The sequence below is a fragment of the Homo sapiens genome, chromosome 4, assembly GCF_000001405.40.
Source record: "Homo sapiens chromosome 4, GRCh38.p14 Primary Assembly".
NCBI lineage: Eukaryota > Metazoa > Chordata > Mammalia > Primates > Hominidae > Homo > Homo sapiens.
Window position 1 is genome coordinate 61,104,756 of NC_000004.12, and position 12,345 is coordinate 61,117,100.

Genomic DNA, 12,345 nt, shown 5'->3' on the forward strand with positions numbered 1-12,345 from the left:
GAAGTAGTTTACAGTCCCACCAACAGTGTAAAAGTGTTCCTATTTCTCCACATCCTCTCCAGCACCTGTTGTTTCCTGACTTTTTAATGATTGCCATTCTAACTGGTGTGAGATGGTATCTCATTGTGGATTTGCTTTGCATTTCTCTGATGGCCAGTGATGGTGAGCATTTTTTCATGTGTTTTTTGGCTGCATAAATGTCTTCTTTTGAGAAGTGACTGTTTATATCCTTCACCCACTTTTTGATGGGGTTGTTTTTTCTTGTAAACTTGTGGGAGTTCATTGTAGATTCTGAATATTAGCCCTTTGTCATATGAGTAGGTTGCAAAATTTTGTCCCATTCTATAGGTCGCCTGTTCACTCTGATGGTGGTTTCTTTTGCTGTGCAGAAGCTCTTGAGTTTAATTAGATACCATTTGTCAATTTTGGCTTTTGTTGCCATTGCTTTTGGTGTTTTAGACATGAAGTTCTTGCCCATGCCTATGTCCTGAATGGTATTGCCTAGGTTTTCTTCTAGGGTTTTTATGGTTTTAGGTCTAACATTTAAGTCTTTAATCCATCTTGAATTAACTTTTGTATAAGGTGTAAGGAAGGGATCCAGTTTCAGCTTTCTACATATGGCTAGCCAGTTTTCCCAGCACCATTTGTTGAATAGGGAATCCTTTCCCCATTTCTTGTTTTTGTCAGATTTGTCAAAGATCAGATAGTTGTAGATATGCGGCATTATTTCTGAGGGCTCTGTTCTGTTGCATTGGTCTATATCTCTGTTTTGGTATCACTACCATGCTGTTTTGGTTACTGCAGCCTTGTAGTATAGTTTGAAGTCGGGTAGTGTGATGCCTCCAGCTTTGTTCTTTTGCCTTAGGATTGACTTGGCAATGCGGGCTCTTTTTTGGTTCCATATGGACTTTAAAGTAGTTTTTTCCAATTCTGTGAAGAAAGTCATTGGTAGCTTGATGGGGATGGCATTGAATCTATAAATTACCTTGGGCAGTATGGCCATTTTCATGATATTGATTTTTTCTGCCCATGAGCATGGAATGTTCTTACATTTGTTTGTATCCTCTTTTATTTCATTGAGCAGTGGTTTGTAGTTCTCCTTGAAGAGGTCCTTCACATCCCTTGTAAGTTGGATTCCTAGGTAATTTATTCTCTTTGAAGCAATTGTGAATGGGAGTTCACTCATTATTTGGCTCTCTGTTTTCTGTTATTGGTGTATAAGAATGTTTGTGATTTTTGTTCATTGATTTTGTATCCTGAGACTTTGCTGAAGTTGTTTATCAGCTTGAGGAGATTTTGGGTGGAGACGATGGGGTTTTCTAGATATACAATCATGTCATCTGCAAACAGGGACAATTTGACTTCCTCTTTTCCTAATTGAACACCCTTTATTTCCTTCTCCTGCCTGATTGCCCTGGCCAGAACTTCCAACACTCTGTTGAATAGGAGTGGTGAGAGAGGGCATCCCTGTCTTGTGCCAGTTTTCAAAGGGAATGCTTCCAGTTTTTGCCCATTCAGTATGATATTGGCTGTGGGTTTGTCATAGATAGCTCTTATTATTTTGAGATACGTCCCATCAATACCTAATTTATTGAGAATTTTAGCATGAAGCGTTGTTGAATTTTGTCAAAGGCCTTTTCTGCATCTATTGAGATAATCATGTGGTTTTTGTCTTTGGTTCTGTTTATATGTTGGATTACATTTATTGATTTGTGTATGTTGAACCAGCTTTGCATCCCAGGGATGAAGCCCACTTGATCATGGTGGATAAGCTTTCTGATGTGCTGCTGGATTCAGTTTGCCAGTATTTTACTGAGGATTTTTACATCGATGTTCATCAAGGATATTGGTCTAAAATTCTCTTTTTTGGTTGTGTCTCTGCCTGGCTTTGGTATCAGGATGATGCTGGCCTCATAAAATGAGTTAGGGAGGATTTCCTCTTTTTCTATTGGTTGGAATAGTTTCAGAAGGAATGGTACCAGCTCCTCTTTGTACCTCTGGTAGAATTCGGCTGTGAATCCATCTGGTCCTGGACTTTTTTTGGCTGGTAGGCTATTGATTATTGCCACAACTTCCGATCCTGTTATTGGTCTATTCAGAGATTCAACATTTTCCTGGTTTAGTCTTGGGAGGATGTATGTGTCGAGGAATTTATCCATTTCTTCTAGATGTTCTAGTTTATTTGCGTAGAGGTGTTTATAGTATTCTCTGATGGTAGTTTGTATTTCTGTGGGATCTGTGGTGATATCCCCTTTATCATTTTTTATTGCGTCTATTTGATTCTTCGATCAGGCAGCAGCATCTGCGGTTCACCAATATCTGCTGTTCTACAGCCACCGCTGCAGATACCCAGGCAAACAGGGTCTGGAATGGACCTCTAGCAAACTCCAACAGACTTGCAGCTGAGGGTCCTGTCTGTTAAAAGGAAAACTAACAAACAGAAAGGATATCTGCACCAAAAACCCATCTGTACATCACCGTCATCAAAGACCAAAGGTAGATAAAACCACAAAGATGGGAAATAAACAGAGCAGAAAAACTGGAAACTCTAAAAATCAGAGCATCTCTCCTACTCCAAAGGAACGCAGCTCCTCACCAGCAATGGAACAAAGCTGGACAGAGAATGACTTTGACGAGTTGAGAGAAGAAGGCTTCAGAAAATCAAACTACTCTGCGCTACAGGAGGAAATTCGAACCAATGGCAAAGAAGTTAAAAGTTTTGAAAAAAAATTAGACGAATGGATAACTAGAATAACCAATGCAGAGAAGTCCTTAAAGGACCTGATGGAGTTGAAAACCAAGGCATGAGAGCTACGTGACAAATGCAGAAGGCTCAGTAGCAGCTGTGATCAACTGGAAGAAAGAGTATCAGCAATGGAAGACAAAAGGAATGAAATGAAGTGTGAAGAGAAGTTTAGAGAAAAAAGAATAAAAAGAAATGAACAAAGCCTCCAAGAAATATGGGACTATGAAAAAGACCAAATCTACGTCTGATTGTTGTACTTGAACATGATGGGGAGAATGGAACCAAGTTGGAAAACACTCTGCAGGATATTATCCAGGAGAACTTCCCCATTCTAGCAAGGCAGGCCAACATTCAGATTCAGGAAATACAGAGAACACCATAAAGATACTCCTCGAGGAGAGCAACCCCAAGACACATAATTCTCAGATTCACCAAAGTTGAAATGAAGGAATAAATGTTAAGGGCAGCCAGAGAGAAAGGTCGGGTTACCCACAAAGGGAAGCCCATCAGACTAACAGCTGATCTCTCAGCAGAAACTCTACAAACCAGAAGAGAGTGGGGACTAATATTCAACATTCTTAAAGAAAATAATTTTCAACCCAGAATTTCATATCCAGCCAAATTAAGCTTCATCAGTGAAGGAGAAATAAAATACTTTACAGACAAGCAAATGCTGAGAGATTTTTGTCACCACCAGGCCTGCCCTAAAAGAGCTCCTGAAGGAAGCCCTAAACATGGAAAGGAACAACCGGTACCAGCCACTGCAAAAACATGCCAAATTGTAAAGGCCATCGATTCTAGGAAGAAACTGCATCAACTAACGAGCAAAATAACCAGCTAACATCATAATGACAGGATCAAATTCACACATAACAATATTAACTTTAAATGTAAATGGGCTAAATGCTCCAATTAAAAGACACAGACTGGCAAATTGGATAAAGAGTCAAGACCCATCAGTGTGCTGTATTCAGGAAACCCATCTCACATGTAGAGACACACATAGGCTCAAAATAAAGGGATGGAGGAAGATCTACCAAGCAAATGGAAAACAAAAAAAGGCAGGAGTTGCAATCCTAGTCTCTGATAAAACAGACTTTAAACCAACAAAGAGCAAAAGAGACAAAGAAGGCCATTACATAATGGTAAAGCGATCAATTCACAAGAAGAGCTAACTATCCTAAATATATATGCACCCAATACAGGAGCACCCAGATTCATAAAGCAAGTCCTTAGTGACCTACAAAGAGACTTAGACTCCCACACATTAATAATGGGAGACTTTAACACCCCACTGTCAACATTAGACAGATCAACAAGACAGAAAGTTAACAAGGATACCCAGGAATTGAACTCAGTTCTGCACCAAGTGGACCTAATAGTCATCTACAGAACTCTCCACCCCAAATCAACAGAATATACATTGTTCTCAGCACCACACCTATTCCAAAATTGACCACATAGTTGGAAGTAAAGCACTCCTCAGCAAATGTAAAAGAACAGAAATTATAACAAACTGTCTCTCAGACCACAGTGCAATCAAACTAGAACTCAGAATTAAGAAACTCACTCAAAACCACTCAACTACATGGAAATTGAACAACCTGCTCCTGAATGACTACTGGGTAAATAATGAAATGAAGGCAGAAATAAAGATGTTCTTTGAAACCAGTAAGAACAAAGACACAACATACCAGAATCTCTGGATCTTTAAATGTCTGTTGTGATTGATAGTTAATTTTTGGTGTCAACTTGAGTGGATTAAGTAACACCTGGAGAACTAGTAAAACTTTACTCCTGGGTGTGTCCTGGGTATGTCTGTGTGGGTGTTTCCAGAGGAGATTGGCCTGTGAGTTGGTGGACTGTGTGCCGAAGGTCTGCCCCCCATGTGGGTGGGCACCATTTAATCGGCTGGGGTCCCGGGTAGAAGAAAAAAGGCTGAGGAAAAGCGATCCAGCCCTGCTCCTTGATCCTCCTGCTCCCACCCTCCTGGAACTGCAACACTATTCTTTTCTGGCCCTTGGACCTTAGAACTCCATGCTCTCTAGCCTTTGGACTCTAGGATTTACCTAAAACCTCCCGCTCCCATCCATTTATTATCCAGCCTTTAATCATGGACTGGGAATTACACCATTGACTTCCCTGGTTCTGAAGCTTTAAGTCTTGGGCTGAGCCATGCTACTAGCATCTCACGGTTTCCAGTTTGCATATGGGCTATAAGGAAAGTTCTCAGCCTCCATAGCTGAATGAGCCAATTCTGCTAATAAATCCCCTCTCATCTGTCTATCTATGTATTTATCTGTGTTTTATTGTATCTCTCTCTCTGGAGATCCCTAACTAACACATCTGTTCATTTTATTGATGACTAAAGGGATATTGTGAAATCTTTATGTAATACAGCCCTCCAAGGATCAAAGCAAGAGATCACTTTAGAGCTGGGATTCCTTTATTATATTTACTATTCAAATTTCTCTGTTGAAATGAAAGATAAGCTTTCTTTCTGCTGAATTCTTTGTATTAAAATGTTACAGTGAGATTTCATTGTGTTTTGCCATCCATTTTTCAGATTTTTCAAAGTACAGAGAGTAGAATGTTCTTATTTTTTTTAAGTTATGTTTTGGCTAATTTCTTTTAACTTGGGTATACAAGTTAATCGTATTCAGTTTGGTAAAACAACAATTTATAGTTTATTTATTTAAAGTTTCAAATCTGAATCACATACTTCATAGCAGGAAAATATATATAAAAGGGAACAAAGCTTACAAACAATAAAAAGTATCACAGAACAATAATTTGGTAAATATCCAATCACTCAAATTGACTATGGATCTCAATATGCAGTTTTTGAGTTCTAATTGGATTTGATAACCTATCACTTCTTTATGCCTGCATGCAGAATGTATTTAAAAACCCATCTCTTTCTTGAATAGTTTCAATAAACAATTAAATGTTTATACTGTATCTTACACCATGCTGAAATTATATGATTTTCAGTAATAAATGACAACTTTGATCATGTCTGTATTTATCCCTCATTAGCCTTAGAACTTCTCTGCTTATTTTTAAAAGCTAATGATTTCCTTGGTCATTTAACATGTACCAATTTTCACCCGCAGATATTCAGGTTGTTGCAAACTCATGATGAAAGAAAAAAATTGGTTCATACATATATATATATTTCTTTTGAATAGTAAAAGGCTGCCCTGAGATTTTAAAACAAGAGAATTGGAATTTTCTGAGCATTTATTTGGCTAAAACAGATTTCATGGTTTACAGTAATTGGGGTAAAATTTGGGTTGCCATTCAATATTTTCTCTCTCTCTCAAGCTGATTGGTTTGATTGTTTACCAAAAATCCAGCTCCCAAATTGCAGGAACGCAGAATATCCTAGGATGATGGTTTTCACTCATTCCATGACTTTTGAGGTTGCTAGTGTACATGCAAGATCATCCGATGAAAAAGGGAGTGTTCTTTCCTAATAAGTGCAAAGAAAGGATTGAATTAGACGAATTCGTGAGAGTTTCACAATTATAGAATCCATCTCAGTTGCCATTTAGACCTCTGGTTCACTCATTGTTTACAGTAAAGTTACTTTAAATTTAAGTATATGTTTATATGAAATGAATGTTTAATTATAGAAGGTTATTTAACATGACATATATTATAAAATGTTCTTTCCTTTTCTTGAAGGATCTTCTAGACATATCAAACCGTACTTTTGATTAATCTTGTAGAGTTAAATTTGTATTTCTACAGTTTTTACATTGTTGAGTCAGCCCAGCCAGTTTTTTAAAAAATAAAGTGTAGCCATGTATGGTGGGTAGGCTTTTAAGATGACACTGAAGATTCTACCCCTTCCTTTGAGTGGGTGGAACCTGTGACTGTGATGGGATTATTCTTGTGATTATGTTATCTTATATGGCAAAACAGATTCCGCAGATACAATTAAGGTCTCTAATCAGTTGACATTGAATTAATCAAAAGGGAGCTCTTCCTGCTGTCCTTGAAGAAGCAAACTACCATGTCCTGGACTGCCTATGGCATGGGCATTGGCAAGTTTCTGAGGGTGGCCTGCAGAAGATGGGAGCAGTCCCTGACCTACAACCAGCAAAAAGGTGGAGACTTTTAGTCTCTACAGGCTCAAGGTACAGAATTCTGCCAACTCCAGTAAGTATGGAAGAATCTGAACCTAAAATGAGATTGATGTCCTGGCTGCCACCTTGATTTTCGCCTGTTAGAAACTCTCAGAGGACCCAGGTAATCTGTATTTTGGACTCCTAACCCAAGGAAAGGGTAAGGTAGTAAATTCATCTCATTGTAAGTTGCTAAATTGGTAATAATTTGTTACGTAGCAATAGAAAGCTAATCTACTACAAATAGATGATTTTTAAAAGGGCATACTTGCTCATAAAAAATGTTCATGGAACAATACTTATGAAAATCAGTATTTATTAGCATAAATAAGATAATTCTTTAGGAACATTAAAATTCCTGTGCTTGGGGGCACTCAGTCAGGAGGTGTGCAAGTTTCTAGGCAAACTGGTGGAATGCCCAGGTGGCCAGAACACTAGGCAGGTTTTTCAGTGGTAGGGAGTAATTGTTTATGGGTTTAGAAATTCCCTTATCATTAAACACTACAAATGAAGACATTATTACCTTAGCACACAACTTTTGGTTATCTGATTCTGATGAAGTTGAGCAATCAATTTTCAAATAAAATATGATTCATATTTAAGTGCCAAGCAATTATTTTCACTAAGTTCATGAATTAACTACAGTTATTTTATAGGAAAGTGGTTGGCTACGTTTTAAGGCTTATTTACATGACATAGTGCAGTGTATATTTGTGAGGTGGATGGACACAAATAATTAGAGATAAGTCTTAATATTCTGATCATGAAATCTTTCAAATTCAATTATTTGCTTCATGTGAAATAAAATAATACATATGAGTCACAAATACAAGCTTTGAAATCTATTCGCTGTGATGATTTTTAATTTTGTTTTCCTTTTGTATTGGCGGGTACATATTTTATGAAATTGTGATATGCCTTTAAGTTATTATTGCTTGAAGTAATCATCCTTAAACACGTCATCTAAATGTCTCATTCATGATGTCTACCACCTGTCTCCTAATATCTAAGTAACAAGCAAGGTGATTTTAAGAATGATATGTCCTTGCTATATAATGTTATACTTTTACTTATTAGGGTCACAAAATGTAATTAAAGGTGGGTAAGTTAGAAAATTCTCTGTGGTGGATTGTTTTATCTTTCCTAACTATTCTCTTCCCTCTTTGATAATGAACTATGTATTCACCCCCCACCCATCGCTTTGCCATGTGGATTGCCATACTTCTTGTATGGTTGAGTACACTTTCTGACTACTTGTTTAGTTTTCACCATATGACTTGTGGGAACCAATGAAATTTGAGCAAAAGAGATGGAGTTTTACATTTAGCCAGGAGCTTTAAGAATATCGTGGGTTGCTCAGTGCTCTTGGTCTTTTTGATACATCATGAAAAGAGTATGTCCCAAGTAGAACCTGCTCCTTCAGCCCAATCTAAAAACGAAAGTCTTAGGCAGCAAAAGTGTAGCCTGGCAGCCAGAATTGATCTGCAACTGAACAAGCAACCAGTGAGATATAATTCCTTTTGTTGTTTTATAAGCTTTTGATGTTTGTTTCCACAACAAAGCTGAACGATGTAGTCTGAAATTTAATTTTCTTTGAAATGAAAATGTGACCACTTTTATTTCCCTGATTAGCATTTCAGTAGTTTTATATTGCCTTAAGACTACAGGCCAAAGGCAAGTCTTTCATAAATCCTGTATGTTTGGGGCCATATTGCCCAACCCCCACCCTTTAAAAAAAAAAAAAAGAATTTGTAAAATTCACCAGATATTCTCCTTATGTCAGGAATTCTTTCCCTATGTCCCTCCCCACCACTTGCCTTTGACAGCAGGAATAATATATGCAAAATTCCTATGGTTATACATAATTATATTTAGGATTCATGTCTTATTTTGTACTTTCTTTCCAAAATAATAGGCATTGTGTTTCTTTGTATTCTAGTTTATCTACAGTACCTATTACAGTGCTAGTACACAGTAGAAACTAATAAATATATGTTGTATGAAGCAAAACATAACATCAATTTTTTGATATACCATCTTTATCCCAAAAAAGTCATATACTGTCTTCAGATTTTTAGTGTCATTAAGGTGCTTTTAATTTTATTTTAATTCATTTCTAAAGACTCAGAACATGATGTTTCTATAAGAACTGTATTTTTAAATATTACTGGAATATTTATTAAGTCAAAAGTGTAACAAGTGTATTGCATATCATCTGTACTATTATTTCTCATGGAGCAAGAACTCATTTTCACTTTTCTTAGTGCCTAAGACTAGTTGAATGGTTTTCTGTTGCCATAGTAACACTACTCAGTTTTTACAGTGGTTTCCCCCATATTTTAAACATTGTATTATTTCATTAAAGGAACTTAAGAATTTTATGGCAAATAATATTGTCTGTTCCTAAAGGCTAAAATACACACAATTTCACATGCTTTCTGTACATATTTAAATTTGACTTTTAAATTATACTTATTTTAATGTAACTCCACTCTTTTGTGTTTTAAGCTTTATGTATTCCAATTTATAGAGTCAACCTATATTCTTTTTTAAATTTTTTTTTCAGCATGTGTTTCTAATAAAAATCATTGCTTTAATCCATCAAATTTAAATTTTAGCTATTAAGACCTGAAAAGAAATATAGCACAGGAAAAGGTGGGTTCAGAATAGACCAGAGGCAATTATGTAAGGCATACTTGGAATACTATTGTGCTAATCAAAGATTGGAGGGCATCTGGCTGAGATGGTGACTGGACTATTGTTTGATAAAGGACATACAAGGTGTAAATGTGGACCAAGTTGGAAGGATAAGTATTCTCCTTTAACAATTCTAAGCAGATACAGCTGGTGCTCTTCATATTTTTAGGAGACATAGGTATAATGTGAACAACAAAAAAATGTTGAGAGGGGCACAAATAACTCAGATATATTTGTGGTAGACTTTTCCACAAGATAGTATTCAGGATATATTTATGTATTATTATCATTCAATGTTATATCTTAACAAGATGTTTGGGATAAACTCATAACGTATGCTTTACAATTGTATAGCTGATTTCCTGTGCATTTGGCACATCTGTTTTGCTTCTGATGGTTATACGTATTTTTTCTTCTCTGAGTGTTGAATTAATATTTAGGGAGTTTGTAGAATGTACAGAGGGGTCACCAGCTGCCAAAGATCTGACTGTCATAGGAGACCTCTTTTCTGAATTTTCATACCCGGAAGAGCTTGTTAGATGATATAGCATTTTGGTCTAAGCTAAATGTAAAATACCATATTTCTTCTTTCCATAAATAATATTATAACTTTGAATTGGTCTTTTTATTTTTATATTCTAGGGTAAAGGAGTTTTTGAGACTTTCTTGGAAGAAATGGACTTGAAAAACAGAGTTCAAAGTAAGAAATAAAAGCAGAAAAAAATAAAATGGTAGGTGGGAAATCAGTAAACTATTTTATTTTCTTGAAATACTGAATGAATTTTAATTTTTTGGAAATGAAAAAAGAAGAAAGAAAGCAAGAAAGAAGGAACAAGGAGAAAGTTAGGTTTTAGGCTAAGCTTTCAAGTGTACAAATTTATTGCTTGGCTATACAGATTTAGATTTTGCAGGGAAAAGTGTAGTGTTGCGCTGATAGAATTCATACACTGTGATAGATAATATCACAGTCATTCTGTATTTTGTAAGGCATTTATGTTAGGAAATCTTTTGTTCTCTGCAATTAGTGCTTCGTGTATCTTAATTAACTTAATGCCCATCAATTAGCAGGTATTGTTCCCAACCTAAAAAGCAAATTTCAGTAAACTGTGCATATAAATGCTAGGTTATGAAGTAGTTCTTTCCAACCTCATTGTATTGACTTTAATACTGTTGATGGTGATGATAATAGAGTATAATAATTTATTTTTTGTACACTATGTAACAGGTACAGTGCCTTTTCAACTTAACAACAAATCAATGAGGGAAAAATTAAGGCTCAATGTTGCAGCTGTAAAGACTGAAGCAAAAACGTTATTTAACCTTTCATAAAGATTATAATCATTATAAGAAATATTTTGGGGAATTTGAACCCAGTTTCCCTATACTTTTTCTATTATTCCATGTTGCCTCTTCAAAAGCAAGATTAACAGATGTAAATGAAGAAAATGATAAAGAGAATGAAAGTTAATCTAAAGTCTATTGTTTTAGAACACTTAAAATGGATTCTTTTAATTGTAATATAACAGGTAATGGTTTATGTGGTAAGGCATTTGGAACTGAGCGATCACAGGTCATTAGGAAATTGGGGTTCAAATGATGTTCTCTTGAATGAGTATGGAAAAACATGTACCCTAAAAGATCTTATATTTGGGATTAAGAGCAATGTACATGCCATAAGAACTATTAAATAATTTGGTCACATTTTTGAAAATGAGATATTATTTTATAGTGCATGGATGCTGTGGTTTGTGGTGTGTATCTTTGGAAGTTTTGCTGGGCACAGAGACCAAAACTTGCTAATTTGATGGCTTTAATGACCTACTCGGGGGACAGGGAGTGTTGGTTAAATATTTTACTAGCAAGCAGTCTTGGCTAGCTGTGGAAATTTCAGGAGCTTTGGAACCAAATATGTGTGCAAATACTATTTACAAGATGTGTAACTTCAGAAAATTTACTAAATCTCTCAGACTTCAGGTTCTTTGAATGATACTCAATGTATGGCAGTAATAGCTCATATTTAAAAGGTCAGGCATATAGGGAACTTTCAATCATATTAGCTCTATTCTTTCCAGCTCCTTCCACTACTTGTTTGATCTATGTTGCTTCCAGGCTCTGAAAGGATCTCTATATTTTTCTCCTCTCTCCAGTTACAGATGAATCTTTCTTAAGATTTTAGTAATATATTAATATATGTGATTATCATGGAAAATATGAAAACATTTATGTCAGTAGGTAGCCAGTTTGGTTTCTATCTTGCACACTATTCCTGATAACTTCAATAGAATTAACTTGTTCCACTCTATTAAATGGAAGAGGGAAGGAGAAATGCTTATCCCATATTTATAGTTGACAGAGCAGAAACAAAAAGTAAAATGAGGAGGGGAGAGGGAAAGAGGGAGGGAGGAAGGGAGTGCGGCGGGGAGATAGAGGGTGAGCAAGCAAGCACGTGGTATTGAGATTGATTGGGAGAGAGAAAGAGATCTACATGCTGACCAGGAGCAATTCCCATTATTGAACAAAAAACAAGAAGTGTGACTGGGAAGCTTCTGGGACTTAATTTTAGTAGAAAAAAACAATTGCAGAGGAAAAAGCACAGAAAACTCTTAAAATATCAATTCATAGTATGGATAAGAACTCCTCATTTAGATAAATTGAGTAATTAATAACTGAAACAAAAACCAAGATCATCATCTGTGAAACAGCTTATTTCAAACAATTAATTATTCTCTGTCATATGGTTGAACACAGACCAATTGTACAGAGAGACTG